At 36.9% G+C, this 14,834-nt stretch overlaps 1 protein-coding gene across 39 annotated transcripts in view, besides 1 other annotated feature; it reads right to left on the reverse strand.

Moving 5' to 3' along the window:
* ICA1 (islet cell autoantigen 1) overlaps nucleotides 1-14,834 on the reverse strand; it is a 149,372-nt gene that overhangs the window by 57,476 nt on the left and 77,062 nt on the right. The window contains exon 1 of one of the 39 annotated variants that reach the window (XM_011515356.4): nucleotides 5,551-5,777. The exons of the other annotated variants lie outside the window; for them this stretch is intronic. The gene's annotated coding sequence lies outside the window, so the exon portion shown is untranslated. Of the gene's footprint in view, nucleotides 1-5,550; nucleotides 5,778-14,834 lie in introns of those variants that run through there. 39 annotated transcript variants of the gene reach the window in all.
* Nucleotides 5,457-5,636: an enhancer, noted in NCBI's record as "active region_25658". NCBI's record gives its function as "activates an Ori minimal core promoter by ATAC-STARR-seq in GM12878 lymphoblastoid cells {active_cell/tissue: GM12878}" and the evidence as "EXISTENCE:reporter gene assay evidence [ECO:0000049][PMID:35858748]".

Genomic DNA, 14,834 nt, shown 5'->3' on the forward strand with positions numbered 1-14,834 from the left:
TGTATACTGTGACCTTGCAAAATTCAACGATTAGCTTTAAAAGTTCTTTTGGAGATTCCTTAGAATTTTCCATAAAAATTCATGTGGATACATCTATGTACACATGCTGTCCAAGAATGAAGACAGCTTTACTTCTGTTTTAATTTATATGTCTTTTATTTTTCTTGCCTTATTATATTGGCTATGTTAATGTTGAACAGAAGTTTATGTGAGAAAGCATATTTATTTTGTTCCTGATCTTAGGAGGAAACATCAATTCACATATTTAAAGTGTACAATTAAATCATTTTCAGTATATTCCCAGAGCTGTGTAATCATCACCAAATCAATTTTGGCACATTTTTATCAATCCAAAAAGAAACCCCATCATCATTTCCTTTTGCTAATATTTTGATAATAATTTTTCTTGTCTATGTTCATGAAGGACATTAGCTTGTAGTTTGCTTTTCTTATAATATCTTTTTCTGGTTTTGCTATTAGGGTAACTCTGCCCTCATAAAATGAACTGGGAAGTGTTCACTCCTCTTTCATTTTTTTGGAAGAGTTTATGTAAAGTTGATATTATTTCTTCCGTATATGTTTGGCACATTTTATGAGTGAAGCCATATAGAACTGAGGTTTCCTTTGTAGAAAGATTTTTAACTACAAATATGATTTATTCATAGATATAGGGCTACCATGTTATTTATTTCTATTTGAGTGAATTTTGGTAGCTTGTCTTTAAAGGGATTTGTCCATTTCACTGAGTTATCAAATTTGTTGGCTTAAAGTTGTTCATAATATTTATTATTCTTTTAGTGCCTGTACTGTCTATAGTAATGTCCTCCTTAATTCTAAGTATTAATGATTTATGTCTTCTTTCTTTTGTTTCTGACCAATCTGACTATAGGTTATCAATGTTATTGATCTTTTCAAAAGGCCAGCTTTTGATTTCTCTATTGTTTTCTGTTTATGGTTTCATTTGCCCCTGCTCTTAATTACTGTCTTCTGTGTACTTAGGTTTAATTTGTTCTTTTTTCCTAGTTTCTTAAGATAAAAATTTATATTATTGATTTGAGAACTTCCTTATTTTCTAATAATTAATGGTTTTAATTTCCCTCTAAACATTGCTTTAGCTGTATCCCACACATTTTGATATGTTGTGTTCTGATTTCAATTATTTCAAAATATATCCTGATTTCCCTCGTGACATCTTCTTTAATCCACAAGTTATTTGGATAAATATTGTTGAATTTCCAATTATTCAGGGGATATTACAGATATATATTTGTTACTGATTTCTAGTTTAATTCTGTCATAACTAGATTACTTTGCATAATTTTGATTTTTAAAAATTTATTCAGACCTGTTTTATAAACCTAAACACAGTCTATCTTGGTGAATGTTTCATGTGCACTTGAAAAGAACATATACTGTGATGTTGAATGGAACATTCTGTAAATGTCAATGAAGTCAAGGTAGCTGACAGTCTTCTATATCCTTATTGATTTCTGTCTATTTCTTCCATTAATTACTGAAAGATGAGTGTTGAAATCTTCAACTATTATTGTAGACTTGTCTATTTTTCCTTTAAGTTCTTATTCTATTTTTATATTCTATTATCAGTTGTAGACAACATTGGGATTGTTATATCCTTTTTATAAATTGACCCTATTATCTTCAATAAATATCCTTATTTCTGGTAATAGTCCTTGTGCTGAAGTATGTTTTTGTCTGATATGAATAAAGCCACTTCAGATTTCTTTTGATTAGAATTTGCAGGCTATATATTAATCTATCCTTTTGTTTTGAATAAATCTGTTTCTTTACATTTAAGGTGTGTGCTATGGACAGCATAGAGCTAGATCTTGCTTTTGAAAAAATCCAATCTATAACTCACTTTACTCCATTTATATCTATAGAGATGACTATGAGACTTACAAAATATAACAAGAATAAATAGGGTTGGTCTGGTGTTAGATTTAAAATAAACTCATTCTGCTTTGAAATAATCACATGTTTTTTCTAAGTTGCTTATAAACCATCTAGAAGTGATCAGTTCTAGATTTGGTTAAGAACACAGTTTAATTTAGTACATTCAATTTTCAAGTTTTAAAATTCTCTTTTAAAAATAGGACAATATTTTCTTGTTACGCAATTTCTGGCACCTCTGATTTCTCAAATGTCACTGGCAGTATTACTGTGCTTGCATACATGAGTTCTTTCTGAGACATAATTCATCTTAGTCTGGTGACTAAATGTATTTAAATATAACTAGCACACATTTGCTCCTTTCATAGATTGAGCTTCAATTTTTCCCTAAAATCTTTCTATCATTTCCAGTTTAAATATCACTGACAACGGAGGTGAAAGTAAAATAGGGGCTTAGTTGCTTTGCTTTCTTTGCTTTCCCTATTAAGATTTAATCATTTAAAATGCATTTTCTGGCTCTGTTCACTGTAAAGGTCTACAAGTAACGGCTAACTTAGAAGCAATGAGGTCACGGCCTCTGACTATCATGTCCCCTCTCTAAGTAACCAGGGCTCCTTGACAAAACTGCTGATTCCAGGACTAGGGAAGGAAATACATAAGATGATTCTGAAATATTCGGTTGTACCAGAAAGCAAAGAAGGCTATTACTGGGGTCAAAAGGACTCAGGAGTCAACCTAAGAGACTCCCACTAGCCAAAAATGAGACATTGTGAGCATCAATGAAGTTAATATTGGCAACGATTAAAACACATCAAATATATCCAAATCTATGAGTTCATAATAATACTTAAAAACAAGCAAATGAACAAATCAACAGAAAAACAAACAAACAAAACCCTCACTGGGCACCTGTAGAGAATGCTAATGAACCAATTCAATATTTTGACAAAGAAAAAGAAACAAACATTTATCCTGCATATCCTATCAAACTGTCTGTGCTTCAGGACGACCGGATAATTGACAAGGGAGTTATTCATTGCTGAAGCATTCCAACTAATAAATGAAGAAGGAATATAATCTGTTTCCAGTAGCAGGCCTGTCTTTCCAAGGTACTATTTCATGCTCACAACAGCCTTGTTGTTATTAAGATGTTTCATAAACCTCAGGCCATTCCAGGTTTTAATTTTCCTGACACCATTACTTACTTCTTAATTCCTTTCTTCCCTCTCTTCCTCCTCCCAAGCAATATAATTGAACACCTATAGCTCTCGGTGCTGGAGATAAGCAGAGAATAAAGCAAAGTCTTTGCTTTCATGATGGTTATGTTGTAGTGGGTGAAACTGGACAATAAATAACAAAAGTAAACATATTGTCTGTTGGTGAAAATAAAGCATTGTAAGAAAGATATGAGTGCAGGGTTTGGAGGGGTAGTAGAGGATTCTGTTTCATATGGAATAGTCTTGGAAAGACTTTCTGAGAAGGTGATATTGGAGCAGAGACCTGGAGGAAATGAGGAAGCAAACCATACCGATCTCAGGGGGAAGAAGACTCAGCAGAAAGAAGAGTGAGCACAAAGGCCCTGGGAATGGAGTATGCGTGGCTTGTTCTAGGAAATGTGGTCAGTCTCTTTAATTATGTATTTCTTTTCCCGTCTGTTTTACATGTTTTGTAAGTTCATCAACAAATAGAGAACATGATCTTTCCTCTTAATCTGACTTAATGGGTGATTGAAAAACTGACTTTTGAAAAGGTACCTATGACAATATAAATAGTTGTAGTAATAAGCAGCCACAGAAAACTCATTTATATATACATTTTTTCTGTATGCTTTTATAACGAACCTAGTGCACTAGAAATGAATGAGCTTTAAATGTGCATATAAAGTTGCCCCCCACATTATAGTGTGAGAATTTCCCCCAAGATGGCAAGAAAAAAAATGAAAGCTGGGCGTGGTGGTTCACGCCTGTAATCCCAGCACTTTGGGAGTCTGAGGCAGGTGGGTCGCTTGAGCTCAGGAGTTTCAGACCAGCTTGGGCAACGTGGCAAAACCGGGTTTCTACAAAAAAATAAAAAAATCAGCTGGGTGTGGTGGTGAGCACTTATAGTCCCAGCTACTCAGGAGGCTGAGGCGGGAGGATCACTTGCACTGTGCTCCAGCCTGGGTGACACAGCCAGACTGTATCTCAAAAAAAAAAAAAAAAAAAAAAAACAGAGAGAGAGACAAATGAGACAATTCATACTCTTTAATGCGGGAAACACAAACACGTCCACTCTTGGCAGCATCATTCTACCATTGCGCTGAAGAGAATTACACCTGAATAGTAGGGGAAAGAAACCGAAGAATGAGTGAGAAAGACTTTAAACCAAGGCCAGGGAGAAATACACGTTCCACTGCTAAGAGAAAGAGAGGAATGGGTGGTTAAACAGGGCCTTGGAGACAAAAATTCCACCATCTGGAGGGCAAAAGAGAGAAAGGATCATCTCATGTGCTTGTCAGGTTCAGCACTTGAGGTAAGGAAAACGAGGTGGGGCTGAGTGAGAGGTTGAAAAGAATGTGGGGGATAAAGCGGGGAGGGGCACAGAGTGGGCTGGCCAAGCTGATGCTTAACCTTGCTCAAGGAGGGAGCAGGGTAGAGAGATTTCAGGGACAGGGAAGTTGAAGTCAATAAAGAAGCAAAAGGAGAGGAAAAAGAGGGAAGAATCTGTATGTTTAATGCTGTGGCTAAGACGGTTAATCATCAGTATTTTGCCAAAAACAAGGAAGATGTGGTTGTCATTTTACTTCATTTCCTCCTAAACATTCATTTTAAACTCCAACAATTCAGTGATAATAAATAAGCAGTGACAACATTAGGTTTTCCAGCTACATCTCTGCTGAATTTATAGGAGTTTAAATTGAATCATCCAGATAATACTCCCTTCGCATGCATGAAAACTGTTTAAGATAAGGGTTTTTTTCTTTATATCCACCTGAATAAACCACACATGCAGCTGACACAATTTCAACTGATTTATAAAAACATGGCATGCAACCTTCATTCAGATACTCATTTTCAGATAATAGTGGAAAAGCCACCAAACTTTTTCCCTACTTGCTCTTCAGAAGTTCAGGTTTATACATGTTCTGATAACAAAACAAAAATCAAACGGGGATTATGGGTTCAAAAGCCACCTAGAAAAACAGAGCACACCAATGCCTCATGGTCATTTTCTAGGAATATATCAAATGTTGTACTGGATCAAAATCTCAAAATAATTATCTCAACGATGATTCAGGAGAATTGGGCACTCCTAGCATAATCCACTTTTCGGAGTTTCCAAGGAAGAGAGCTGTGATTCTCCCTTGTTTATCCCCCGCTCCTGCCTCGTCAGTCTTTGGTTCCATGGACGGCAAAGGGGAGAAAAAGGAAGTGAACACTTATGGAGGGCCTCCTGTTTTACAACTGTTTCATTCTGCAACTCCCCTCATTTTACAGAGGAGAAAGCTTAGGTACAAAGTACCGTTCCTAAAAGCAAACAGCCAGTGTGTAGAAATGCCAGGACTGGGGTTGGATGTTGTCTCCTCTTGTACGAAACACAAACTTTGCACCCAGGCCCTGCCTGCCTGCCTTAGTCCAGAGGTCTCCTTTCCCATGTTACCTTCCAGGCACCTTATCCTTCATGCATGCTGAGCTACAGCAGGCCAATCCCATCCACGTGCTTCTGTACTGCCTCTGCCTGGAAAGCCCTCTTCCTTTTGGTCCACATGGTTAATTCTCACTCATCTTTTAAGTTTCCGCTTAAGGGTTTGCTCCTCTGAGAACCTTTTCCTGTAATGCCCCTCAGCAGAGTTAGCAGCTTCCTCCTCTCTGCAGTCAGTGCACTTTGCAGACGCCCTTATGAGACAAAACCGTGGTAAGTGCCACCTGATCCTGTGTGTGCTCAGCTACCCTCCAGACTCTAAGCTGCACGAAGGGGGAAACCACAGCACTCAATTTTCTAAGGCTAAGGCTTTGTGCCTCGTGGGCAGCAGGCATGCACAACAATGAGTAAATGAAGAGACGATAGCAGAATGAGTGAACAAATCACTCCTCAGGCCTTGCTTTTCCCACTACATAGTACTGCTCTTCAACAGGGCACAACATGCTCTGTTTGCTGAATTACTGCTCAGGCTTTCTCAGATACCATCCCTCGTCCTTACCACCACCACCACCACTTACTGATTAGATGTCATACATACATGCACATATTCTCATTTGACTTTCACAATGTACCTACAACATAATTGTGGTACTGTATTTCTATTTCACAAAGAAGGAAAGCAGGTTTCGGAAACATTAAGCACTCAACTGGCAGGGGTGGAGCCAGGATGTGAAAGCCCCTGCTCATTTCACTAAACCACTTTACCTCCTCAATTACACCAAATCTCCGAACAGCGAGATTAACTTTATATTACCCAAAATGGAGTGTCAGCACTTCGTCTACTACTCTCTTTCCTTATCACTTTGTTAATTTATTACATGAAAATATTCTAATGCATACAAAATTTGATTTTTGGCTTCTTATTTTAAAATACAAACTATTACCCACTATGTAATTACATCCGTTGATGTATGATCACAGAGAAAAAGGTCTTCTATTTTCGAGCCCATGGCAAGTCAAATACAGTCAAAATTATTCACAATCGTGTAGTTTATAATATGTAGATACATTTCAGGTTAATTTGGTCAGTTTTTACATTGTTCCAACATTCTTAATGTTTGCTCAGCTGGTGAATTTTTTTTTTCTGTTTTCTGTTTTTAACTTAAGGAAGCAATTCTGTCATCAGAAAACAGCTAACTGGGTTCACTTCCTCTTTCAGGTCATTAGTGGAAGCATTAGGTCACAAGACTGAGCCCAGGGCACCCTTTTATCAATTTCTCTCTAATCTGAGAAGCACATATTTCAGCAGAAATTCTTCAGTAAAGGTCTACAATATTTTTATCCCATTGGTATTTCCTTTATTTTTTATTACTTTTATTTTTATTAATCTTTCTTTTGATCTATGTGCTATGTGAAAAGCTGAAGAATTTGCTTCTGTCTCTTGGCTGCCTAAGCTAAACCTACTTGTATTTTATAGTACAGTATAGTTTTATTATGCTTATTGATGGCCAGTCACTGTAAGTAAACACAACTCACATCCACAAATCAACCAATAAATTAACAGGTGAACTGAATTGCAGAAAGTAATTCTGTTAGGGAGATAGTATTTATTCACTCTATAGTGGGTCCTGAATAGAGTGAATGGGGAAAAAGATCAGGTCCTTCCCTTTATGGATCCATTATGCTGTCACTGAATACCAAAGTGTGGTTGATATCGGTGTTCAGAAGCATCTCAAAAGACTGATGCATTAACAGCACTTTCAGCAGTTCCCAGACATCCAGGGTAAATGCAAACTCTGGAATGTGAGCACAGGACCTTCATGATCTGGCCCTGGCCCACTTCTCTACCTCCATCTTTGGCTTCTTTCACATTCTTTTCTCTAGCAAAACTAAACTATCTACAATCTTCCAGCTCATCAAGCAGTTTCATCTTTGTAAGTTCCTTCCTTTTGTAAGTTCCCAGTGTTCATCCCCTTCCATGTTGTTCCCATTGGTGTCACGTTGTTTCTCCTTCACTGGCCCTTCAAAATTCAGCTTGTGCCATACCTTCTAGGAAGCACATATCTTGATTCCCAAAGTCTGATCTTAGATGCTCCACTTTCAGGCTCTGAAAGCAGTTCGTTATATACCTCTATTACCTCACAAGACACTTATCACATTGAATGGTCACTGTATTTTAATTGACTGTTTTCTACATTCCTCAGGGAGGGTATGGCAGAAACCATATCTTGATTTTGTTGCCCCAGTACTGATAGTAGGTGCTAAAAATGCTAGTCAAATAATTTTTAACCTGCTGCACAGAAATATACATCATCTTGTGCTTTGGGTCTGTAGCTTCTATTTTTATAGTCTGATGACTAACATTCTGTCACTTGGTGTGGTCTTTTTTTTTTTTTTTTAAAAAAGAAGACATTGCTGCAGTAATTGTGTGCCAAGAAGGAAGCTTGTCCAGCTGCTTCAATTTCCCATTAGTCTAAATCTTTAAAACATTTTCTGTGTTAAGATTTTATATATTGCTGTACCATTTATTTGCTCCTTCCTGCTGGAAATTACCTTATTCTAATTTGCTCTGCTCTGGAAAATGTGGATCCTGGGTTCTTTGTACACACCTGATCCAGTAACGCTTGGTGTCAGTGATGGCTCCTTTTGTCATCATAGGCCTGACAGCATTTCAGCGTTTTAGCATGATGACCAGGTGCTCTTATGGTGGAATCTGCTAGCTTTCCACCCAAATCCATCTGCCCTTCTATATTTTTCAGACTCCTCTGAAAATGGTTGTCGCTATGGACAAAGTTCTCTACAATGGAATCTGAGCAGAAGTAAACTGCATCACTTCCAGGCTTGTCCATAAAACTCTTCCATACAGGCTCCTGTATGTGCTTTCTCTTTTTGGGATGACTGAGATGTCCACATCCAGGCAACACTGAAAGGCAAGTTTTAAGGACTGCAAAGCTGTTGTCACCCGAGTCTCTAAATGACTTCTTAGAGGACAGCCACCCCACCAACCTGGACGCCTGGCTGGGAACACAAAAGAAAAACTTCTATTGATTTAAGTCATAGACTTGTGGGTGTCTCTGTCCCATAACCTAGCCTAGCCTATCCTACCCAGTGTGGGGAAGGCTTTAAGAAGAGGCTAAATGACTTAGGATTCTAGCTATAATGTTGGAAGTGGGTTGAAGTCTAACAATCCCATAGACAACTGACAGTGATCCAAAGATTTATTATTTCCATTACTAGTTTGACCATCAACAAGAATGTCATCAACAGCATCGGATGATTACTAAAGTGTTCAGAAATTCTCAAAATTCGTTTTCATACCATTTCACGCATTTGTAAAGAAATGTTGTATAACAACTATCGAACGGTTTTGCGGTGTTGCTAAATGTGGTGGGATGAATCTGAAAACTGCTAGAAAATTCTTCAGTGTTTTCTTTTAGCATAATTATTAGAACTAAGAAGTCCCAGATGACTCTCTGGTGAACTTCTGGTGCTCTTAGCCTTTTGTTCTAGTTCCCCAAACGAGTTTCCAAATACTAAATATACTTTCCTGAGGAAGGGAGAACTTTTTTTTTTCCCACATTTTTACAGAAAGAGTTCTCCGAATATTTAGGGCTGGGAGATATATGTATGAAATGGTAAAGAACTTAAAAAGTTGGATATGTAAACAACAGAGATACTCCTGATTATATGGTCCTTTTCTTTCTAAAGGGCTTCTAAGTAACCATGTTGCTAAAACTCACTTTATTCTATGCTTTTTTTCATGTAAGCTCTACGACTCTATTCCCCCGTTCCTCTTCTCAAACTCCTTATTATCAGCTGCTTAGATTTTGTTGTTGTTGTTGTTAAGGTCTAGCTTACACTGAAGTGCAAAATATACAGTTTTTTTTGCTCCATACACTTTTAAATATGTATATACCCACATTAACCACCACCCAGAAAAACATACCAAACATTTTCAGCACTCCAGAAGACTCCCTTGTATTCTATCCCCAGTCAATACCTCCTCAAAAAGATAACCAATATTCTGATCTCTATCACCATGAATTAGTTTTGTCTAATGTTAAACATTATATAAATGAAGTCATATATATATTGTGATATCTAGTTTCTTTCATTCAACATCACACCCATGACAGTCATCCATAGTACTGCAATATAGTAACAGTTCGTTCTTTTTCATTACTGTATGGTATCCTATTGAATGAATGGTACCACAATTAATTTATCCTTTCTACTATTCATGGACATTTGGTTTACTTTCACGTTGCAGCTATTATGAAAATACTGCCGTGAACATTCTTGTGAATGTTTTACATGAACATTCATTCTCCTTGAGTATATGCCTTAAAGTATACGAGTTTTAGTAGACAATGTCAGTTTCCCAAAGTGGTTCTACCAGTTTACACTCCGACTATCAGTGCATGATAGTTCCTGTTCCTTCACATTCTCATTCCTTTGATACTGTCAGTCCTTTAAATTTTAGCCATTGGGTGGGTTTTATTTACTATTTCCCTGATGATTGATAGTGTAAGTACCTCTACAGGTGTACATGAAACCATGTTGGCAATTTTGATATTTCCTTTTGTCAAGTATCTGCTCAAATGCTTTGTCCATTTTTTCACGAGGTGGCGGCCAGTCTCTCTCTCTTTTTTTTTTTTTGAGTTGTAGAACTTCTTTAGATGTTCTGGATACAAGTCCCTTGTTGGATACACATGTAACAAATATCTTCTCCCTCTCTGCAGTTTGTCCTTATCTTTTCTAAATGGTGTTTTTTAATGAAAAGATTGAATTTTCATAAAACATAATTTATTATTTTCTTTTATGGTGGTGCAGTTTGCATCCTGTTAAGAACTCTTTATCTGTTCTAAGGTCATTGAGATATTTACCTATGTTTTGTTTTAAAAGAGTTATTGTTCTGTCTTTGGACTTTTAAGTCTATGATCCAGCCCTAGTTAATTTTTGTGTATGATATGAAATAGGGGTCGGGTTCCTGGTATTCTGTATAGATATCCAACTGATCCAGCGTAATTTTCTAAAAAGACCATTATTTTCTCCAATGAATTACAGTAATGCTGTTAACATAAATCAAGTGACCTTATATGTGTGGGATTATTTATGAACTATGTAGTCTGTTCCATCGATCTACTGGATCATTCTTTAGCCAATGCCACACTGCCTTAATTAGTTTAGCTTTATAATCAGCCTTAATATCTGTAAATGTAAGTCCTCTATCTTTGTTCTTACTTTTAAAGATTATCCTGGCTATTCTATGCCCTTTGTATTTCTATATAAGTTTATAGTCATCTTTACTACTTACTAGCAGGATTTTGAATGGTGTTGCATTTAATCTGTAGGTCAATTTGAAGGGTACTGACCTCTTAACAAAAGGAAGTCTTCTAATTCATAAATATGGTACATTCCTCTCTTTTCTTAAACCTGCTTTAATTTTCCTAAGCAATGTTTTGCAGTTTTAGTATAGAAGTCTCACATGTCTGTGATAAGATGTATTTTTAGGTATTTGCCATTTTCAGTTTTTAAACGTGGCTCAGAAAATAAGCCAGTGCTTAATTAAGAAATGTGAGGCATGAATAGTATTCACATCACCTTTCTTAAGAGGTCAAAGGAACATAATCCAAATGCAAAATGAATACATAAATATAGTTAAAACTATCCAGGAGATTATCTGAGTGTTCCAGTCTTCTTACTTCCTATGAGCTGAATGTATCTGAGCATACGTTATTACTGGAGCAATGTTCTTTGAACCTGCTCCTTTATGATCTAATTAAAGCTAATGGTAGTTACTTGCAAAGCTTATGGAAGAAAAACTCAATGCTCCAGTCAATTCCTTTCATTTCCTTGACTATGCCATTTCTTCCCTCTCCCACTTCTGGGCTTTCACATATCCTACAACTCTGCCAGAAACACTCTTACCCTTTTTTTTCCCTTTTTTCACTTGGCTACTAACTATACACTCTTCAGGCTCAACTTAAATCGTAGAATCTCTGAGAAGCCTATCTGGACCCACTGGACAAAGTTAGTCATCCCTGCTACATTCCCTAACAAGATCCTTTATGTTCTCTTTTCTAGAACTAGACTCCCTGCATTTCAATTGCTTGATTAATGTCTGTCTTTCCTTCTACACTTTGAATTCTAGGAAGGCAGAAGCAGTGAGTGCCTGGTTCACAATTTTATTCTCAGAGCTCTGCATAGTGCCTAACACATTTTAATTGCTCAATAAATACTTGAAGGAATGACTATGAAAGTTGGGCAGAGGAGAAGAACAGGACTCTTCTTCCCTGGAAACAGAAGTCATTAAAGTCATTAAACCAACCATTGGGATGTTCCAAAGTGGAATGAATTAAAGGGACACCCATTATCCCTGGGATCCTAGTAGTTATCTTATGGGTGATATATTTCCTCTAAATTTTTATTGTTGATAAAACATAAAATAAAAAAATTAAAGGGTTATTAAAGAAGGTCATCCTTTCAGAATGACCAGCAGATCTAACACTCAGGATTTATTCTATTTTTAAAAACATTTTGTCTTTTAAAAACTTTATTTTTGTATTGTATGTTACAGCTTTCTATCTATTGACTTTGGTGTTCAATATATTTGTTTTTGCTTTTTTAAAGAAAACCCACTGTCACTGTAAGGTTGGCAGTGTAAATGAGAATCTCCACATGGGGAGATTATATCCTTGGATGATATATCCCTGAAGTTGCTGCCTCCATCACTAGTGTCTGCAGGGCACAGCTTCCCAGTAAAAACATTAGCATGTACAGGGGACATGCAATGACTATTTCCATAGTTTTCCACAACACAATGGTGATCAGGCTAGAATCTCTAACCACAACTTTCCTAAAGACTCCAGAATAACAGACAAGAAATAAACATAAGAGAAGAAAGTTACAACTAAATAGACCGATTTACAAGATTTAGTTTGCTTTTCCAGCTCTTGGTCTCCTATGGGAATGCGGGGGAAGATTAGCTTAGCAACCATCTGACACCTAAACCTACCTGACACTGAAACTTACCTACATGCCTAAAAGTCTTTACTTAAGAAAGTGAAGGTTCTATCTTAACAGTTAAAGATCATTCTGAGGACTTTTTCCCCAGATATTTGTCCCGTTAAAGGCTATTCTAACCCCCGTCTACAGATGTGGTCCTATCGCAAAGCCTGAGCAATGCAGCCACATTGGAATATAATCCAATAAGAGATACACACATACTGATGTGTATATGTTAGAGGGAGATATAGAAGGTTTTTGCAGAGGGGAATACTTTGGGGACAATTATATGCATTCAGTCAACAAAAAATTATTAAAACCCCTGGTAATGTGGTGGAGTAGAAAGGGTATCCAATCTGGGGCTAGAAGACTTGGGCTATGCCTGGATCAGAAGCTTCCTGCCTTTGTAACCCTGAGCAAGTTATTTAACCTTTCTGAATTTCTGCCATTAGATCTGGAAAATAAGCATGAGATAAATAAGAGAGAAAATGTATATGAGAAGCTTTCTTTAAAACTGTAATGCTTAATGCTATTATTATTAGGAGTTGCATGCAAGGCCCTGTGTTTAGCACTATGGAGGTCAATTATGCCTCTCTGTAAGGGCAGTTGAGAGGGTAAATGAGATAAAAACATTCAAAAGCTACAGATAAGGCATGATCTCTACTCTTAAGGAAATTTCAAGTTGTCGGAAAGTTGAGACTTGGGCACAAACAATATATAAAAAACATAGTATTTGAAAAACACCGCAAGAATAAAAAATATAGACTAGCATTTACTACATAAATTTATTGTTCATTGCATGGTATATTATCACTAACATAGAAAGTTACCTATTAGTCTATTAAGATGCTTATCTCACTGATAAAATAAAAAGAGCTAGTTAATTTGCTAGCATCTTCTGCATACAGAAATCAATGGGCTTTTAACTTCCAAAAGCAAGGTCATAATCACTGTGCCTTCTAAATTGGCAAATGTGGTGCCTAGTCAAACAGAAAAGTGCTCAGGTGCATTTTGAAGTGCTTTGCATTTCCTATGGAAAATGCCCCTCTCATTTTGTCTCTGTAGAGTAATATGGAGCCTTACATTATAGATGTACATAATGGTCTGGTGCCATTTCCATGCTCCAAGAGGATTACAGGAAGGGCATGCACACTGCCTTTTGCTCCAGCTGTATCTTTTATCAATAAGACGCAATGTGCTCAACAGTGAAAGGGCTACTGTCTTTACTTTGAAATAACAGCTGAATTCATATCATGGGTCATTTTGTTAAGAGGTGAAACAGTGCGGGGGTTGGAGAGGGGAGGAAATTTGCTCTAACCATGCTCCTCAGGGAATATATCACAATATATAAATCACAAGATAGCTTTCTCTCTTCCTAGGCCACTTAAAAATAATCCCTTTAGAATACACTTAGGTTTGAGAGAATAATTCATACTTGAAATAAAACCTAATGAACTATTGTGGATTAAAAGCCTATTGTATGTTAAATATACATGCAAGAGTATAGAAAAGATATTGGAAGGAGATGGGAGAGATGTGTAAACCATCTTTAACATTATTTTGGACAAAATATTTTTAAGATAGAAAAGAAAAGGCGGGGTGCCGTGGCTTGCACCTGTAATACCAGCACTTTGGGAGGCCAGGGCGGGCAGATCACTTGAGGTCAGGAGTTTGAGACCAGCCTGGCCAACATGGTGAAACCCCATCTTTATTAAAATACAAAAATTAGTTAGGCTTGGTGGCGTGCGCCTATAGTCCTAGCTACTTGGGAGGCTGAGGTGGGAGAATTGTTTGAACCTGGGAGGCGGAGGCTGCAGTGACCTGAGATTGTGCCACTGCACTCCAGCCTGGGCAACAGAGTGAGACTATGTCTCAAAAAAGAAAAAAAAAAAGGAAAAAAGGAAATGAGAGATAAATTTTTAAAATTCTGTCTTTGGTTTAAAAAAACTGAAAAAGTCAGCTCAAATTCAAACTTAAACAATATTATGAAACAGTAAAGATGGCTGTGAAAAATAAAAGTAAATTTTAATCCTGACCTTGTAAGAATTATAAGTGAACACATCAATGTACCTAATGTACAAAATTAGAGCAGACTTATGAAACTTTAAACCAAGTGATAAATTTAAATATATTCATCCAACCATCCATTCACCCATCCATGCATCTGGCCATCCACATCCATCCATCCATCCATCCACCCACCCACCAATCCATTTATTCATCAACGAATGATTATGCTTACTTACGCTCAGTGTACTGTCTGGACCAGCAACATCAGCATCACCTGGGAGCTT

Source organism: Homo sapiens, chromosome 7, assembly GCF_000001405.40.
Source record: "Homo sapiens chromosome 7, GRCh38.p14 Primary Assembly".
Taxonomy (NCBI): domain Eukaryota; kingdom Metazoa; phylum Chordata; class Mammalia; order Primates; family Hominidae; genus Homo; species Homo sapiens.